The sequence below is a fragment of the Homo sapiens genome, chromosome 6 (genome assembly GCF_000001405.40).
Source record: "Homo sapiens chromosome 6, GRCh38.p14 Primary Assembly".
NCBI lineage: Eukaryota > Metazoa > Chordata > Mammalia > Primates > Hominidae > Homo > Homo sapiens.
Genome location: NC_000006.12, coordinates 78,975,323 through 78,995,328, shown reverse-complemented (window position 1 = coordinate 78,995,328; position 20,006 = coordinate 78,975,323). Strand labels below are relative to the sequence as shown.

The 20,006-nt window shown below is 35.0% G+C and overlaps 2 protein-coding genes across 5 annotated transcripts in view; one reads left to right on the top strand and one right to left on the bottom strand.

Moving 5' to 3' along the window:
• The window catches only part of PHIP (PHIP subunit of CUL4-Ring ligase complex), a 143,836-nt gene that overhangs the window by 82,926 nt on the left and 40,904 nt on the right, over nucleotides 1-20,006 (top strand). For 3 of the 4 annotated variants that reach the window (NM_017934.7, XM_011535918.4, XM_011535919.2), the window contains 5 exons: nucleotides 4,344-4,461; nucleotides 6,980-7,120; nucleotides 9,901-9,977; nucleotides 12,212-12,443; nucleotides 16,618-16,737. In NM_017934.7, the coding sequence (NP_060404.4) occupies nucleotides 4,344-4,461; nucleotides 6,980-7,120; nucleotides 9,901-9,977; nucleotides 12,212-12,443; nucleotides 16,618-16,737 (688 nt within the window). The remainder of the gene's footprint in view (nucleotides 1-4,343; nucleotides 4,462-6,979; nucleotides 7,121-9,900; nucleotides 9,978-12,211; nucleotides 12,444-16,617; nucleotides 16,738-20,006) is intronic. The other variant, XM_005248729.6, reaches the window with a different exon arrangement.
• IRAK1BP1 (interleukin 1 receptor associated kinase 1 binding protein 1) overlaps nucleotides 15,918-20,006 on the bottom strand; it is a 111,861-nt gene continuing 107,772 nt past the window's right edge. Inside the window, exon 4 of the mRNA XM_047418194.1 lies at nucleotides 15,918-16,196. The gene's annotated coding sequence lies outside the window, so the exon portion shown is untranslated. The remainder of the gene's footprint in view (nucleotides 16,197-20,006) is intronic.

The following is a 20,006-nucleotide window of genomic DNA, read 5'->3' as shown; positions in this document are numbered from 1 at the left end:
ATAAATGTATAGCAGCTTTATTTGTAATACCCAAAAGCCAGAAAGATACCCAGATGTATTTTAGTGGGTAGATGGTTAAACAATGGTATATTCACACCATGGACTACTACTGTGCAATAAAAAGGAACAGCATATTGATACAATGGGTATGAATCTTGAGGGAATTATGCTGAGTGGAGAAAAATAATTTCAAAGTACATCCTGTATGATTCCATTTATGAAATATTCTTGAAATGACAAGGGTATAGGAATGGAGAACAGATTTAGGTTGCTAAGATACAGGCATACTTTGGGGATATTGCAGGTTTGGTTTCAGACCAGTGCAGTAAAGCAGCTCACATGATTTTGTTTGTTTGTTTCCAAGTGCGTATAAAAGTTAAGGTTATACTATTCTATAATCTGTTAATTGAACAATATGATTATGTCTGAAAAAAACTACATACCTAATTTGAAAATTCTTTACTGCTGAAAAACGCTAACAACCATCTGAACCTTCAGTGATTATACTCTTCTTGCTGGTGAAGGGTCTTGCCTCGATGTTGATGGCTGCTGGCTGATCAGAGTGGAGGTTGCTGAAGCTTGTAGTGGCTGTGGCAATTTCTTAAAATAAGACAATAATAAAGCTTGCCACATTGATTTGACTCCTCTCATGAAATATTTCTGTGTGGAACTTATTTCAAAACTGGGGTCAGTCCTCTCAAACCCTGCCATTGCTTTATTAGGTTCATGTAATTTTCTTTTCTTTTCTTTTTGAGACAGAGTCTTACTTTGTTGCCCAGGCTGGAGTGCAGTGGCGTGATCTCGGCTCACCGCAACATCCACCTCCCAGTTTCAAGCAATTCCCCTGCCTCAGCCTTCCCAGTAGCTGGGACTACAGGCGCATGCCACCATGCCTGGATAATTTTTTGTAGTTTTAGTAGAGATGGGGTTTCACTGTGTTAGCCAGGATGGTCTTGATCTCCTGACCTTGTGATCTGCCCACTTCAGCCTCCCAAAGTGCTGAGATTACAGGCATGAGCCACCGCGCCTGGCCAAGTTCATATAGTTTTCTACAATCTTTGTTAACATTTCAGCAATGTTCAAAGCATATTCACTAGAGTAGCCTCCCTCAAGAAACCTCTTTGTTCATTCATGAGCCACTCCTCATTCATTTAAAGTTTTATTATGCAACTTCAGCAATTCAGTCACATCTTTAGTTGCCGCTTCTAATTATAGTTCTCTTGCCGTTTCCATTACATCTACAGTAACTTCTTCCACTGATGTCTTCAGCCTTCGGAATCATCTATGAGGGTTGGAATCAGCTTCTTTCAAACTCCTGTTAACAGTGATACTTTTCCTCTTCCCATGAATCATAAATGTTCTTAATGGCATCTACAATGGTGAATCCTTTCTAGAAGGTTTTCAATGTATTTTGCCCAGATCTGTTAGCAGAATAACTAGTGCAGCTATAGCCTTATGAAATGCAATTTCTTAAATAAAAAGACTTGAAAATAGAAATTATTCCTTGACCCATAGGCTGCAGAATGGATGTTCTGTTAGCAGGCATGAAGAGAACACTAATCACCTTGTATATCTGCATCAGAGCTCTTGGGTGATTAGGGGCATTGTCAATGAACAGTAATATTTTGAAAGCAATCATGTTTTCCGAGTAGTAGGTCTCAACAGTGGGCTAAAAATATTCAGTAAACCATGCTATAAATAGATGTGCTGCCATCTAGACTTTGTTGTTTCATTTATGGAGCACAAGATGAGTATATTTATCATAATTCTTAAGTGCCCTAGGATTTTTGGAATGATAAATGAGCATTAGCTTCAACTTGAAGTCACTAGCTGTATTAGCCCCTAAGAAAAGATTTAGACTGCCCTTTGAAGCTTGGAAGCCAAGCCCTTACTTCTCTCTAGCTGTGAAAGTCCAGATGATATCTTCTTCCATTTAGATGGCTGTTTGATCTGTTACTACATTGAAAGTCTGTTGTTTAATGTAGCTACTGTCTTCAGTGATCTTAGCTAGTTATTCTGGATAAATTGCTGCAGCTACTTCATCAGCACTTGCTGCTTCACCCTACACTTTTATGTTACACAGGTAGTTCTTAGGCCTCATGAACCAACCTCTGCTAGCTTCCAACTTTTCTTCTGCAGCTTTTTCCCCTCTTCCAACCTTCATAGAAGAGAATAGAGTTAGAGCCTTGCTCTGGATTAGGCTTTGGCTTAAGGGAATGTTGTAGCTGGTTTAATCTTCTATCCAGACCGCAAAAACTATTTCTGTATCGGCAACAAGCCTGCTTCACTTTCATATCATTCCTGTGTTCACTGGAGTAGCATATTTAACTTCCTTCAAGAGCTTTTCCTTTTCATTGAAAACGTGGTTGTTGGGCACAAGAGGCATAGCTTTCAGCCTGTCTCAGATTTTGACATGCCTTTATCACAGAGTTTAATCGTTGCTACCTTTGATTTAAAGTGAGAGATGTTTTCACTGGATCAGTTAGGGTTTTTAATTGGCCTAACTTTAATATTGTTCTGTCTCAGGGAATAGTGAGGCCTGAGGAGAGGGAGAAGATGGGGCAATGGCTAGTTAGTGGAGCAGTCAGAACACACGTAACATTTGTCAGTTAAGTTCATTGTTCTATATAGGTGAGGTTCATGGTGCTTCAAAACAACTACAATAGAAGCATAAAAAATTACTGACAACAGATCTCCATAATAGATATAATGGTAGTGAAAAAGCCAGAAATATTTTAAGAATTACCAAAATGTGACACAGAGACACGAAGTTAGCATATGTGGTTGAAAAATGGCATTTGCTCATTGCAGGGTTCCACAAACTTGCAGCTTGTGAAAAAAAAAAATGCACTATCTGCAAAGCACAGTAAAACAATGTATGCCTGTGTACACACACACACAAACTAATAGAAACTAATAGAAGTAAAACTGGGGAAGTCTCAGTAAGATCAGTGGATTGTATAAATGTCAGCATCCTCCTTCTGATGTTGTACCATGTTTTACAAAATGTTACCATTTGGGGGAATTAGATAAAGGATACAAAGTTTTGCAAAATGTTACCATTTTGGGCCGGCGCGGTGGCTCACACCTGTAATCCCAGCACTTTGGGAGGCCGAGGTGGGGGGGATCACGAGGTCAGGAGATCGAGACCATCCTGGCTAGCACAGTGGACCCCCGTCTCTACTAAAAATACAAAAAATTAGCCGGGCGAGGTGGCGGACGCATGTAGTCCCAGCTACTCGGGAGGCTGAGGCAGGAGAATGGTGTGAACCCCGGGGGGCAGAGCCTGCAGTGAGCCGAGATCATGCCACTGCACTCCAGCCTGGGCGACAGCGAGACTCCATCTCAAAAAAAAAAAAAAAAAGTTACTATTTGGGGGAACTGGATAAAGGATACAAATAATCGCTGTTATTTCTTACAACTGTATGTTAATCTATAATTATTGCAGTAAAAAGTTTAATTTAAAAAAAAAAAATTAAGAACAAAAAAATTAAATCCAAGCCTGTTCTTTTCACAAGATTTAAATTTGCTCATTTTATTTTCCATTCAGAATTATGGCCAGCCACAATGGAGATTGTGCCGTTAAGTAACATGATAACATTAATATCATCTAGTAAAGAAATATCAACAGTATATAGTTGCACTGTGTTTTAGTATTAACTACCTTCTTATTATAAAATCTTAAGGGAGAATTAAATTTCAAATACCCTTGCATTTCAAAAACTTTAAAGTTGTAAGATATTGAAATAAAAAATAAAATTATCTTCTCATGAGTTCATTTTTTGTATTAAAGTTTAAAATTAGTGTTCCTCAATTTGTGTTGTTCAGTTTCACCTTGATGGTTTGAGTTTTTTCAGTCGGTGAAACCTGACCTCCCTGTCTCTGGAAAGAGTGTAGTTCTTTCAGGGCTTTCCGTGTAACCTCAGGGTCTGTTGTATTGAATTTTTAAAGAGATTCCAGCTATCTATATGGAACAGAAGATTATCAAAGCATAGGCCCTATCCTAAAAAAAAAAAAAAAAATCCAATTTCTCACTCTTGGAAAAATTACCCTAGGAATCACCACATTCCCAGAATCTAATACTTGGTTTGCCAGAGACCATAGCAGGAACCAGTAGTATCAAGTTGGGGTAGACAGAGTTTGTCTTTCCATTATTTCAGTCATTTAATGCCGGATGTCCTGAGCCCACAACCTATGAAATTAAACTTAGAAATCTTTATCACATGCTTCCATCTTAAAATAAAACATCAGGAGTAGCGTTCCTTTCCTGATACCTAACATTCCTTTTGGAGGAAAGTTATGTGTAAAATTCTAGATTAATGCATATGGCTTTTGTCTTTCAGTAGGCAAGAAGAATGGAGAACTGCAAAGGGAGAAGAAGAAATAAAGACTTACAGGTCAGAAGAGAAAAGAAAACACTTAACTGTTCCAAAAGAGAATAAAATACCCACTGTCTCAAAGGTACATATTAATTATTTTGATGTTTAATATTTGCTTCTTAAGTATAGTGACCATTTTAAGGCTCCATTTTGTAATTTAACATGGTATTATAAACAGGTTAATGATAAAAATTAACATAGTAAATCTTGGTTATCTCTGGATTATCTATTGTTTACTATTTAAAATTTTTAATTCCATTTCTGCTTTGTAGCATACCCTTTCCCAAAGTGCCAATTCTTACATACTCATGAAATTCTAATAAATTACACTGAAGCCTCATCAAGAACTTTCTTTAGCTCTTCATAATCTTGTGTGCCATCTTTGTACAGTCTAAAAATAGCATTTTGTTATGTTTTTCTATGTGTTTTTGTGGTGTCTTGCATCTATTCATTATTCTAGATAATCAAGTCAGCTAATGCTGCTATAGATAATATTTCTCATTTTCTTCATTAAGAGAGGTAGATTGTCCCTAATAGTTTTGACTTATTGGCTTTTCTGTCATCCTACTCTGGAAAAACTGTTGCACCCAGTAGATTTCAATTGGTCATGGCCTAATTGAGAGAGATACGTACTTCCTGAGTGTGAAGGAATCACAAATATCGCTTTTTCCTTTTTTTCTTTTCTTTTCTTTTATTTTGGAGAAAAACATCTTAGCTTGAAAGCTTCAGAGCCTTAGAGTCTGAAATTGAGGAAGCCTATGTGAAACTTCTTTTTAGGTCCAAGTCACTATCTAAAGCAATTATTGAAACAAAGGAAAAATAAATAACTGGCCTTCTTCACCAGCTTCGTGTTCCTTCCTTTTTTTCATTTGAGTTTTTTAAAACTCCTAAATCAGTCTTCTTCTCTAGAATTCACTTTTCTGTTTTATTACTCATCTCTTCAAAATACTCAAGTAGTCCTTTTTTCTTTACTGAGTGTATCATACCCTGGGATCAGTAGGACCTCACAATGCTAGAATTCCTGTTAGTATAATAAAGGAAAATTTCTTTCTGAAATAATCTTGTTTTTTGCTTGATTGATTGGTTGGCTTTTTCATGGTAAGTGGAAAGCGTACCTTTTTTGCATCCTTTGCTGAGATAAACTTATATAATGATGATGAGAGTTTGTATTGCTTGCTACTACCTTTATGGATGGAATATGTTAATATCTATTAAAATTAAAAGATGTGCTTATCTCTTAATTCAGTAGTACTTTGAGGACTTTTTAAGAAATAAAAGGAATGATATGTATATGTATACATATATGTATGTGTGTGCATGCACACTCACATATTTTTAGCGTCTGTGGTCGCAAAAACTGGAATAACCAGTTATTATTTATGTGGTCAGCTGGCTATCATTTATTTTTCCCAAATTTAATTGGTTATTTTCGATTTCAAGGATGTCTAATTGAGTCTTTGTTTTTTTCTAAGACAAGACCCTGCATTTATTTCATGGATGTGATTCTCTTTTTTGTTTGGTTGGTGGGGAGACAGAGTCTCATTGTGTTACCCAGGCCAGAGTGCGTTGGGACAGTCCTAGCTGACTGCAGCCTTGGACTGCCTCAAGTGATCCTCTTGCCTTATCATCCCAAATAGCTGGGACTATAGGTTTATACCACCATGCCTGGCTAACTTTAAATTTTATTTTTTAACTTTGTAGAGACAGGGTATTGCCATTGCCCTGGCCAGTCTTAAACTCCTGACCCCAAAGCAGGATTCTCCCACATTGGCCTCCCAAAGTACTGGGATTACAGGCATGAGCTACCATGGCTGGCCTTTGTATTCACTTTTGAGATAGCTTTATTAAGTTTTTTGTGTTTTTTAGGTATAAATTTTAATGTTTATTGAGTTTGTCTTCATCACTGTGTTGTACTTTATCAGTTTTTTAGTGTTTATTGGTTGTATTCTCATCTGCAGAAGACTTCTCACATTTATTCCAGCAGAAGAAAAATAAGCCAGCCACATGGCATCTTATCTTCATAGTGGCAGGGTAGCTTTATGATCCCCATTTTGGTTTCCAATTTGCCTCTGCCTATTACATATGCCTCATAGCCCATTATCCTTTTTCTTACATCATTTCTATAGGTTTGATGTAGATACAGAAGAGTTCAGTGTTTGGTTTAGTCTTTTATCATGAATCCTTATGTCTGTCATTAATTAGAAAAAAAAAAAACAGCATTTTTGTAACTAATCAATCAGCAAGTAAATATCAGCATAACCATGATAAGCCTTTAACTTGATGAATGTTAAAATATTTGAGTTGGTACTATAACCTCATCCATTTAAGTGATATCTTAAATATGAACAAATGTTTTTATTGTTGTTGTATGTTAGGATAAATTGTCTCACTTTGTCACCCAGGCTGTAGTGCAGTGGTGCAATCATCCCTCCCTGCAGCCTTGAACTCCTAGGCTCAAGCAATCTTCCCAAGTAGCTGGGACTATAGGCATGCGCCACCATGCCCAGCTTGAATTTTTTTAATTAAAAAATTTTAACTTTTAAACTAAAAATCCTGCTCTTTAAACAATCTGTGAATAAATTTAATTTATTTTTTTCTAGAATCATGCTCATGAGCATTTCCTGGATCTTGGAGAATCCAAAAAGCAACAGACAAATCAACACAATTATCGTACAAGATCTGCATTGGAAGAGACTCCTAGACCCTCAGAAGAGATAGAAAATGGCAGTAGTTCTTCAGATGTAAGATATCAGCACATTCATAAATTAGATGTCATTTTTACTTATTTTTTTAAATATGAGTTTCATTCTTCGCATTTATTGATATGTTTGTAGATGTAGCTTAAATATGGCATTTTGGGGTCTTATGATACAGCTTTTATTTTCTAAAAATCTATTTCTAGGCATGGCACACATACACATAATTTCAAATCCACAAAATAAACTCGTGAATTAATTATTCTCATTTTATAGATAAGGATTCTGAGGCTCAAAGATATTTAGACTATACAGTCACCTATTAAGAGGTAGAGCAGGGATTAAATGCAAGTTTGTTTTACTTGAAAGCCAAGCTTTTTAAGTGGTACCATGAAGCTGTAGTGTAGTGTAAGTATAACAACAAATCAATAAGTATTTGACAATTTTTGTTAGTTTTTAATCTCTGTACCAGTTTACAGCTTTCTCAGTGTAATTTTTAAATATTCCTCATGCGTCATTATTTCAGTAAATATTACTGTCCTTACTAAATTATATATTATTTCAGTGAAGGCAATCAATTTGCAATCATAAACCAATCTTATTAAGCAGTTAAACCATCTCCATTCCTCTTTTCTTCTCAACCTTTCCCATCACCTTCCTTCTTTACAGGTTAGAGATGTAATCATTTTAGATATTGACTACTATACACTTTTGAAGCCATGTTGTGCTTTGAAATGCTAGGCATATATGAGAATTCTCTAAATATATTCTCTTTATCCAGGGCAACATTAACTCTCAAACTGAGAGTATTCTAACCACAATTTAAGTTAGTCTCCAATAGCTTTGGGTCCTCATATAGCCAGGTCAAAATGATATATTCATTCTGGCAAAAAAAGAGAAATATACTGATTATATGAATTTGACACATGGTAATTTGGATAGACATACAAAACATAAAATACATGTGGGCTAATTATTTATCTTATAAAATGTCTCTTTATTTTTGAAAGAGTTTCCTCTAAATATTAAGTTTCTATATAATATTTAAAATATTCTGTTTATTAGAAACTTAAGAACTGTATTTCCAGAAACACATCTGTTACAACAAGTCCTTCAAGTGTCTTCAAACTAATTTATTTATGCTTTAACATCCTTTTAGAAATTTAGAATATATTTCTAGAAGAGTCCATTGAGAACAAAGTATCACTTTGGGCACAGTATACTAATTAATTGGAAAGAATTCTGATTTTTTTGGTTCAGATGTTTTGTACTTTAGTATTTTGTATTTGGAATGTAGGAATAATTCTGTTTCTTTTTCCCCCCTTTAAGGAAGTAACACACAAAATGTGGGAAAAATCATATCACTTGCTTAGATTTGTTATATCGAGCAGTGATTAAATTTGTTAATAAAATATGCTTTTTGTTAATAAAATATGCAAATGTGATTTTTTCATTTTTGCTTAGTTTTCATAACTGTGGAATAGACATATAATTCACATTCTTCATTAAAACATCAAAATGGGAAAACTTTTGTCCCAAGTATATTATTTTATTTAAATATTAAAAGAATCCACCCCATTGTCCTCTTTAAAAGTTATCTGAATATGCCCAGCAAGTAAGTAACACCATTCTTACAGAATGTTGTCCAGGGTTTGGACTAAAGTGACCTGGGCTTAAATCAAGTTTTGTTGCTTATTAGTTGTGCCGCCTTGGGCAAAATTCTCAAATTTTTAAAGCTTTAGTTTGTTTATTTAAGTAACTCTCTATCACCAATAGTGCATTGTCAAGCCCAAATGGGGTGATACATACAAAGTGCTTAGAATAGTTTGTAACATACAGTAAAAGCTTAATAAATATGAGGTGTTATTGTTATTGGAGCATAAAGTTTATTTAAGTGAGGAAGACATGCAACATTTTTGCCATCAAAAAACCCAATTTTATGAAGAAAATGCTTTCACAGATAATATTCTTTGTTTACTCATGAATATTTACCAAAGAGAAACAGAGTGTTTAAGTATTTTTTAATCCTTTACCATTTAGATAAAATAAGACCAGAAGTGGAACATCCTTTTTTATATGGGACAGCTGTTTTAATAAGTAAAACATAAATGTGCCTATAATAAATAAAACATAAATGTGCCTTCTCAAAGCACCTATAGAAGAGAAAGCTTAGTGTTTTAAAAAGGCTCAAGAAGTAAAAATTAATTTCAAATGTAAATATGGAATTTGTTATCATTTTATCTAGATACGTTATGAGGCTTTTACAATGGTAATCTGTAGGATTGCTCTGAATCCAATATTAGTATTATGTCTTTATATACATTTACATATTCTCATTTATTTGTGAAAAAAAGGTAAAAGCTGTATTTTGCAACTAATTTTTTAAAGAGAAGCAGCTGACTCTTTTATTATTTTATTATTATTATTTTTGAGACAGTCTCTGGAGTGTAGTGGTGCGATCTCAGCTCACGGCAACCTCCGCCTCCTGGGTTCAAGCAATTCCGTGCCTCAGTCTCCCAAGTAGCTGGGATTACAGGCATCTGCCACCATTCCCAGCTAATTTTTTGTGTGTTTTAGTAGAGACAGGGTGTCGCCACGTTGGCCAGGCTGGTCTCGAACCCCTAACCTTAAGTGATCTGCCCACCTTGACCTCTCAAAGTGTTGGGATTACAGGCGTGAGCCACAACACCCTTTGCAACTAATTTAAATCAAATTTTAAATATCCCAATATGACTGATATTATAAGATATCACTGATATTTTCTGTAATCATAAAATGTTATTTTATAAAATTATGCAATAAGACATGTATTCAACATATCTTAGGAAGGCGAAGTAGTTGCTGTCAGTGGTGGAACATCCGAAGAAGAAGAGAGAGCATGGCACAGTGATGGCAGTTCTAGGTAAATGAATGCTTTTTATTTTTCCAAATGTTATATAAAGTCTTTAGAAAGGTGTTTTTTTTTTTAACCAGCAACACGTTTCAAAGTCTCTGTAAGTTCAAAGTTCTTCAGAGAGTTTTTGAAGTTGTATGAAATGTAGATTTTCTGATATATGTTCTCTATAGAAAATAATTTTTTGGTGATTGCAACTAGATCTGCAAAATGATGCTTTTAACTTTATCATCTTAGTATTGTTTCTTCTGAATACCGTTATAATGTTGAATTGCAAACCAGTTTCATTACTGGTTTTGAAAAGTATGAAGTTAAGAAAGCAATGCAAGCCTCCTGAGTTAACTATCTTATATAGTGGAATTTATGGAATACTAATGATAAGAGGAATAAGCTCTCCTTTTTCTTGTTATGCCTACCTTATTTGACCAGACCAGTGAGGATTCCTTCAACTCCTTATACTGGCGATTCACATTGTTGCAGAGCTTATGACCTTGGCTAACTTTGCAAGGTCTTAATAGCAAAAAGAGAGTATAGCCTTTGGGGATGGCAATTATGATTAGCTGCTACACTTATCCCCCACCTTAGTGGCTCTTAAAATAGACGAGACAAAGTATGAAGTAGAGGCTGTAAGAGTTCCTCAGTTGTACAATCAAGGGCTCTCCTATTCCCACAGTAGTGATTTCTGGTAATGATGTGCAAATGTGTGTGGTTATATCTAGTAGTTTTCTGTATTCAAAACAGGTCAATGAAGGAAAAATTGAATTTCTTTTGGCTCGACAGCAGAATCAGAGTATTTCAAACCCTGAGATGACATAGGAGTTCCTGTATTAAAAGAGTAGTGGTGGTTTTAGCAGTTGAGGACGGTTGTAAAGAATGCTGGACTCTGGAGTTTGTAATTATGTTTATGCTGACAGCAGAAGATCTTCTGTAAGAGCCAAGTACTCCAGAGAGTGATAACTGTGTGATTTGGCAGGTACCATTTACAGTGGCCATGGCTGGAGCTAGTATAAATAAAATGCTCATAAGTTGAAGACAACCTATTTTAGAATAGCATAGCTGAAAATAGTGTAAGTTCTTAAAAATCATTTTAAATTTCATAGTGAAATCACTAAATCATGCTAGAGAACATCTTAATTATTTGATTCTTATCTGGGATGATTAGGATAATCAGAGATTTAGGTACGTGCTTATAAAGAACATTTGGACAGTGGAGAGGGGTAGTGGGGAGGGTTAGTGACAATGGAATAAAGCTCCAGAAAAATCTGCTTTTTCAGTGTTAATGTTAACAGCAGTATTTTTAGAGGCATGAGGTCATATATCATTAAATCTGGGAAAGCTAATTATTGCTTTTAACATAGTATAACTTAGGTTCCTTTAAGACATTTATGTTCATAAAATTGTACAAAATAAGTAAATATGCTCACATACTAAAATTAATATAGAAGATAATACAACTAGATTCTTTATTTTGCAACATGATTGGTTCAGTAAATCGTTTGTCAATGAAGGTAAACTAAAAAGAAATGACAAACATGATTGGAAGCAGTATACAAAATATAGTAAGGCCTGTATTTTTCTGAATCATGGCATGCTTTGAAGCATAAGATACACCTAACGTGTAGGGTGTAGGTAGGTAGAATAATTTTATCTAAATGAAATTTTGTTACTTTACATGCAGAGTAAAGTTTGCAAACACAGTCTTTCCCCTGGGTAGGAACACTTCTGACTCTGCCAGTTCAATATCCAGCTACCCTGAGAGCACTAGTACTGGACCATAAGAGTTCCCCTGTCTGGAACTCCCACCTCCCCTTAAAAAAGGAATCCCCATATCTCCTTAATGTTGACACCTTCTGTGCTCTCCAGGGTTATCTTTTTGCTGTCAATAGAACTGAGAAAAGTGACCCCCTCTTATTTTTATATGCTCACAGAATTTGTAACATATGCAACACTCAGAAGTCAGTATTTTTCTTAAAATCTTGGAAGGTACTTAAATTTGTTTTTTCACTTAAAGTTGTGACTTTATGTATCTTCAGGTTTTGGGGGAGTTTTTTTGCGATATTTAAGTAAAGCCTATAGAATTTCAAGAAACTTTTGAAGATGAGTTGAAAATTAGGGAAGTTTTTTTGTAGTTTAAGTATTTGTTCTGTCATTTCTCTTTATTATAATCTTTCTTTTCGTTTTTATAAAACAAGTCTTAAAATTTTATCTTGTGTGTTATCTAATAATCCCTTCTCTCCTTCTAGTGACTACTCCAGTGATTACTCTGACTGGACAGCAGATGCAGGAATTAATCTGCAGCCACCAAAGAAAGTTCCTAAGAATAAAACCAAGAAAGCAGAAAGCAGTTCAGATGAAGAAGAAGAATCTGAAAAACAGAAGCAAAAACAGATTAAAAAGGAAAAGAAAAAAGTAAATGAAGAAAAAGATGGACCAATATCACCAAAGAAAAAGAAGCCCAAAGAAAGAAAACAAAAGGTTTGGTTTTTAACATTACAAATTTGGTGTTTTCTAGAGAAACAGTTTAAAGCACACATCTTGAAGTACAATTGATCACAAACATTGTTGAAGTGTATCAGCAAATAATAATAGAAAAAACTCAGAAATACACAGTAGTAAAAAAGTTTACCTAAATATATTTAGTTTATTCGAGTTTTTAGATATTTAACATGTAAAAGTATTTACTTACAAAATTGCCATATTCTAAACATTGAACATTTAACCTTAAAAAGATCAGATTTTTCTTGACAGTTTGGTGGGATTTTTTTATGTGAAATACATAATGATACAAAACATATAGTGTATTAATCTATGAATTGCCTTTATGTTTAACCATCCTTATTAATTGTTATTGCTGAAAATAAACAAAGTCTGTGAGGAACATCACACAGAGTAGAAATGACACAACTTGTTACAGTTGACCCCAAGGCGAATAAAGTGGGGTAAGATGGTCTTGTAACATTCCTTCATTAATCTACAGTGTGTGAGCTATAAGTTTTCAGTCCTTTGGTCAGTAGCAGTATTGATTTGATTACCACAATTAGGTCTGTGGACAATTTGAGAGAAAGCAGAGAACGTAAGAAATATTATAGGAAGAATATCTGTCAGCTCTTATGGAGTTGAAATTCTTTAACATAGGAATGAAAATGAGACCTGTTTAATTTTTGTTCTAAAGTAAATACAACACGAGGGGCATGTTTTCTGCTTCCCAAAAGACTGTAAATGGGAAGCAGTATTTGGTTAAAAGGAAGATTTTTTTGTAACCTCTGCCATTTAAGTATAAATTGTCGTTTGTAGAATTAAATAGTAGGAGACCGTAGGGTCTTTATTCCCACAGAGCTTTCAAAAAGTATAAGAATATATCTGTTTTAAGTGTTTATTTTATCTACATTTGTTGAGTTCTTGTTTCAGCTTTATAATTATGAGTTACTTTAATTTGGATTCCACAGCTGCTGTTTTTCTTGTTGTCTCCTTTGCTTTTGTTTGGGGAAGCTTTACCAAAGAGAATGCCACACATTTACCCACACATTTTCTTTTCTACCTTGTCAGTGATGATAAATGTAGTCTGATTTGTTATTTTATGTATGTAGTAGACAGATTGGTTAAAGAAAACTGATTTAGCCATGTGTCTGGCTAATTAGGTAAATATTCTTTTTCATCTCAGGACAGTTTTGATGAACTTTTGAGGTTTGCAGTGATAAGTTACTGTGAGAACAGTTCCTTCATCCCAAGAGTACAGTTTGCTTCATCTGGTCCCCTTAATTTGATAATTTTCCTCAAACTAATACCATGGGCTCCTTCATGCACTGGCACATATAGATCTATTGTTAACATTTGGCAGGTTTTAATTTCACTGTGTTGTTGCAACAAAGTATTGTGATAGGATGACTCTGCCAATAGAATTATGTGGGTCACTTTAAATATGGTAAGGTTAGGATACTGGAGGGTATTCCCTTTAGTTTAAATTTTGTTCGCATGCCTAGCAGTGATGTAACAGTAGATGGACTTGTTCTTATTCCCTAGTCCTCTAGTTATCTCAAATAAACATAAAAGTATTTCCATTCTTAAACAGGGTCATCTTATGTTGGGATTTCAGATGAGATTTCCTAGAGGAAATAAGATTTGAGCTGCGCCTAGAAGCATTCCCATGGTTGGAAAGGAAAGAAATTATTTATACTTTCCATATTTAAAAAAACCTCAAATCATGGAGCTAGAAATGTTAAAGAATACTCAATGCATTCTTAACCCCTTAATGGTTATAATTAATAAGTGACAGAAATCTTCCTCAACCAAACATTCTAAGTTCCTCAGGAATTATTGGGGAATAAGATATGTCCTCATAATGATTTTTGGTGATGCCCAAAGTCTTTCAGTCATACATATGATTATTCTTATTTAATATACAACTTACCTGTCTTGATGTAAAAGTTGTTAGCTTCCCCATTGAACATAGATAAATTCCTTATGGGGAGAAATCCTTGCCTAGCAATTAATAGTCCATATTGAGGCTAGAATTATGATTTTCAAACTTTTCTGTCTTTCTTTTCCTTTTTATTAGTCAAAGGAAACCTTTTTCAAACAAACTTTTAGCTCCTCAGTATACAAAACTGATAGCAGCTGCTCTGAATAAAGCACAGTGGAAGTTCCTGGGTTGTGGGATCTCTGTGATATACTCAGTGCATAACATAATGGCTACTTTATTTGATAACTGTGTATATATCAAATTACTGTTTGGATATCATTTTACTCCTCACATCCAACACCTACAAAACTTATTTACCAAGCTTTTTCCTCAAACCCGCTGTACCCCAGCCCTCTTTATCTCAGTAATATGACGACTCTCTTAGTTGTTTATACCAGAAACCCTGGAGATATCTTTGATTCCTCTTTTTCTCTCATATTCCACATCCAGTCCATCAGGGAATTAATTATCTAATGGATTATAAGTATATTCAGCACTTTACTGTTTTTCACCACTCCACTGCCATCACATTGGTGTGAATCACCCTGAACTCTCATTTATATTACTGTGGTAGCATCTCATGTGTCTTCCTGTTTCTCCTTGTTTCTCCCTAGGGTCTATTCTTTAAAGCATAGGTTGACAGATTTTTTCTACAGAAGGCCAGCTACTCTGCCATAATAGCATTTATAGACAATACATAAATGGGTATGGCTGTGTTCCGATAAAAATTTATGAAAATTGTGGCAGGCCAGACTTGCCCTGAGGGTCATGATTTGCTGATCCTTGTTTTGATGCATCCAGAGTGATCCTTTTAAAATATAAGTGAGATCGTACTATGCTTCTGCCTAAAATTCTGTAACGAGCCCATCTCACGTACAGTAAATTCCAAAGACCTTTACCCTAACTCTCCAGGGTAATGCTCTTGATATGTTTGACTGAGAAACACTCAGTGTGGCTGTGGCTAATAGGAAAAAGAGGAAAATGACAACTACTACAGTTGGGAAGTAGTAGTATTACCTATTGCAAGTAGTGTTCTCTGATATCATGTTATGGCATTGCTTCTTTTAGTAAACAAGTATTATTTTATACTGATAATTACACTACCTTGTTTTTAAAAAAACAAGTAAAATGTAGCAGTCTTAGTGTACAATCATTTTTAATGTTTTACGTGTGATTCACAAAAGACTTTAATCAATTGCATAACTTTTTTTACTTGTAAAAATATTAGGTTTCAAATGTTCTTAGAAAGTTCATTTTTTTCCTGAGTCTAAGGTAACAACATCAAGACCATTGTGGCCACTTGTGGGTGACCAGCAAAGTTAAGGAACTTTCTCAGAGGCATAGTTTCTCATGCTGTGTAGAAGTGTAATGTCCAGCTTATGGAAATAATTAGCTTTCTACATGTTGCACTACTCAACTCCTATGAGAATACCTTATTTAGTTGTAACTTACTATAACTAGGATTAAAAAAAAACTCTAGGCTGTCTTGGTTTGTTATATGGAATGTTTATAAAATTGATAGCATTTTGAAAGGAAAGGAGAATACACAGAGCTTGTACTTTGGGGTTTGTGGGGATATCTTGTTACCTTGTTGTGAGTGTTGGCTATGGATTTTTGGGTTTTGCTTCTAGTTAGTTCTCTTTGTAGACAGTGATTTGGAGAGATTGAATAACTCTGTTGCCACTGCTGCCATTTTTTCTAGAATAAGTGTTTTGTTGCTTAAAGGATAGTCATCTCTCAGTAGACACGGAGGATTGGTCCCAAGACCCCTGCAGATAACAAAATCCAGGGATGTTCAAGTCTCTTATAAAAAATGGCATATAGTATTTGCATGTGACCTACACACAGTCTCCTATATACTTTAAGTCATTTCTAGATTATTTATAATACCTACTACAGTGCCTACACATCATTTTATTTGTGTGGATTCAACATAGTATTCAGAATGTAGCAAATTCAAGTTTTGCCTGTTGGAACTTTGTGGAATTTTTTTTCCAAATATTTTCAGTCAAGGTTGGTTGAATGCATGGATGTGGAACCCATGGATACACAGGGCCAACTGTATATAATATTGTACAATGGTGCCCTTCCCCTTTTATTTAATTATCTTTATAGTTATTTTAAAGAGTAGATTTGTGGATTAATGCTTTTTTGATTATTACTTAACAATTATTACTTAAATTTTGTCAGAGATTGGCTGTGGGAGAACTAACTGAAAATGGTTTGACATTAGAAGAATGGTTGCCATCAACATGGATTACAGATACCATTCCCCGAAGATGTCCATTTGTGCCACAGATGGGTGATGAGGTACTTTAAAAGTTTTAAATTATCCATTTTTCCTCACATAGTTTTAAACATTTTTTAACAGCTCTTGAAATAGACTTCTGGAAAATAGAAGCAGTTTTGTAAAGTATCTCATTCTAGATATTTGTATCTATGTATGGAGAAAGTACAATTAGGAGTGAAAGTCTAATAATCTTCTTTGAAGCTGCTGTAAATCTGAATATTATAAGAATGAAAATTTTGTTAGTGTTTTAAAAAGAAATGTATGTTTTAGTAAGAGGTTTTTATTGCCAGCTTTCTTTTTCTTTTTAAATTAAAATATATTCATTTATCTTAAGGCTTAATGTATAACATGTTAAAGGAAAAATGAAATTTAGCAATTTGTTTTCATTTAATTTTATTTCAAAAAGTGTTAGTGTTTTGTTTACCCACAGTGTTCACAGTTCATTAGATCTTTAAAAAATCTATAATCTTAGAATAAGAAATACTATTTAATTTTTAAGAAACTGAGGATGAGACCATTGTTTTAGAATATGTACTTGTGAATTTAGAATGAAAATGTAAGAACTGGTCTCAACATTTTTTACTCAAGGTTAATGTCTCCTTGTTTTGTACACAAATTTTAAGAGGCAGTGTTATCTGGTGTCCAACAGATTGACCATAAATAAATTGGGAATTAAAATAGAGGCTTCTTTAGCAAAGCACACTAATTTACAGTATAAAGTGGTAATTGACACTTTAAGAAAAAAAAGAAAACAAAAACTTTTTAATGCTAGAGTGATTCTAAAGAACAGTCTGAAAGAATTTATTTAAAAATCCTACTTGCCTCATACGACTTGAAGAGCACAGAACATTACCACATTGTTGTGATATAGTACAGTGATAGATCTTAACATCCTGTAGCATTAAGATGTGAAATTATATTTAATACATTATTTCAACATGGCCAGAAAAGTTTGTAATTCCTTGTTGAATGATTTCCTTTCAAAATGGTTAGGTTGTCTTTTTAGCTGCTGGTGCTTGAAGGTCTTCATTATTCAGCACTATTCCATCATTTAAAGTTCCAGACAACTGGAGCAATAATGGTATTTTTTTAATTTAAGTTTTAGGGTACATGTGTACATTGTGCAGGTTAGTTACATACGTATACATGTGCCATGCTGGTGTGCTGCACCCACTAACTCGTCATCTAGCATTAGGTATATCTCCCAATGCTATCCCTCCCCCGTCCCCCACCCCACAACAGTCCCCAGAGTGTGATGTTCCCCTTCCTGTGTCCATGTGATCTCATTGTTCAATTCCCACCTATGAGTGAGAATATGCGGTGTTTGGTTTTTTGTTCTTGCAATAGTTTACTGAGAATGATGGTTTCCAATTTCATCCATGTCCCTACAAAGGACATGAACTCATCATTTTTTATAGCTGCATAGTATTCCATGGTGTATATGTGCCACATTTTCTTAATCCAGTCTATCATTGTTGGACATTTGGGTTGGTTCCAAGTCTTTGCTATTGTGAATAATGCCACAATAAACATACGTGTGCATGTGTCTTTATAGCAGCATGATTTATAGTCCTTTGGGTATATACCCAGTAATGGGATGGCTGGGTCAAATGGTATTTCTAGTTCTAGATCCCTGAGGAATCGCCACACTGACTTCCACAATGGTTGAATTAGTTTACAGTCCCACCAACAGTGTAAAAGTGTTCCTATTTCTCCACATCCTCTCCAGCACCTGTTGTTTCCTGACTTTTTAATGATTGCCATTCTAACTGGTGTGAGATGGTATCTCATTGTGGTTTTGATTTGCATTTCTCTGATGGGCAGTGATGGTGAGCATTTTTTCATGTGTTTTTTGGCTGCATAAATGTCTTCTTTTGAGAAGTGTCTGTTCATGTCCTTCGCCCACTTTTTGATGTGGTTGTTTGTTTTTTTCTTGTAAATTTGTTTGAGTTCATTGTAGATTCTGGATATTAGCCCTTTGTCAGATGAGTAGATTGCGAAAATTTTCTCCCATTTTGTAGGTTGCCTGTTCACTCTGATGGTAGTTTCTTTTGCTGTGCAGAAGCTCTTTAGTTTAATTAGATCCCATTTGTCAATTTTGGCTTTGGTTGCCATTGCTTTTGTTGTTTTAGACATGAAGTCCTTGCCCATGCCTATGTCCTGAATGGTAATGCCTAGGTTTTCTTCTAGGGTTTTTATGGTTTTAGGTCTAACGTTTAAGTCTTTAATCCATCTTGAATTGATTTTTGTATAAGGTGTAAGGAAGGGATCCAGTTTCAGCTTTCTACATATGGCTAGCCAGTTTTCCCAGCACCATTTATTAAATAGGGAATCCTTTTCCCATTGCTTGTTTTTCTCAGGTTTGTCAAAGATCAGATAGTTGTAGATATGCGGCGTTATTTCTGAGGGCTCTGTTCTGTTCCATTGATCTATATCTCTGTTTTGGTCCCAGTACCATGCTGTTTTGGTTACTGTAGCCTTGTAGTATAGTTTGAAGTCAGGTAGTGTGATGCCTCCAGCTTTGTTCTTTTGGCTTAGGATTGACTTGGCAATGCGGGCCCTTTTTTGGTTCCATATGAACTTTAAAGTAGTTTTTTCCAATTCTGTGAAGAAAGGCATTGGTAGCTTGATGGGGATGGCATTGAATCTGTAAATTACCTTGGGCAGTATGGCCATTTTCACAATATTGATTCTTCCTACCCATGAGCATGGAATGTTCTTCCATTTGTTTGTATCCTCTTTTATTTCCTTGAGCAGTGGTTTGTAGTTCTCCTTGAAGAGGTCCTTCACATCCCTTGTAAGTTGGATTCCTAGGTATTTTATTCTCTTTGAAGCAATTGTGAATGGGAGTTCACTCATGATTTGGCTCTCTGTTTGTCCGTTGTTGGTGTATAGGAATGCTTGTGATTTTTGCACATTGATTTTGTATCCTGAGACTTTGCTGAAGTTGCTTATCAGCTTAAGGAGATTTTGGGCTGAGACAGTGGGGTTTTCTAGATACACAATCATGTCATCTGCAAACAGGGACAATTTGACTTCCTCTTTTCCTAATTGAATACCCTTTCTTTCCTTCTCCTGCCTAATTGCCCTGGCCAGAACTTCCATCACTATGTTGAATAGGAGTGGTGAGAGAGAGCATCCCTGTCTTGTGCCAGTTTTCAAAGGGAATGCTTCCAGTTTTTGCCCATTCAGTATGATATTGGCTGTGGGTTTGTCATAGATAGCTCTGATTATTTTGAAATATGTCCCATCAATACCTAATTTATTGAGAGTTTTTAGCATGAAAGGT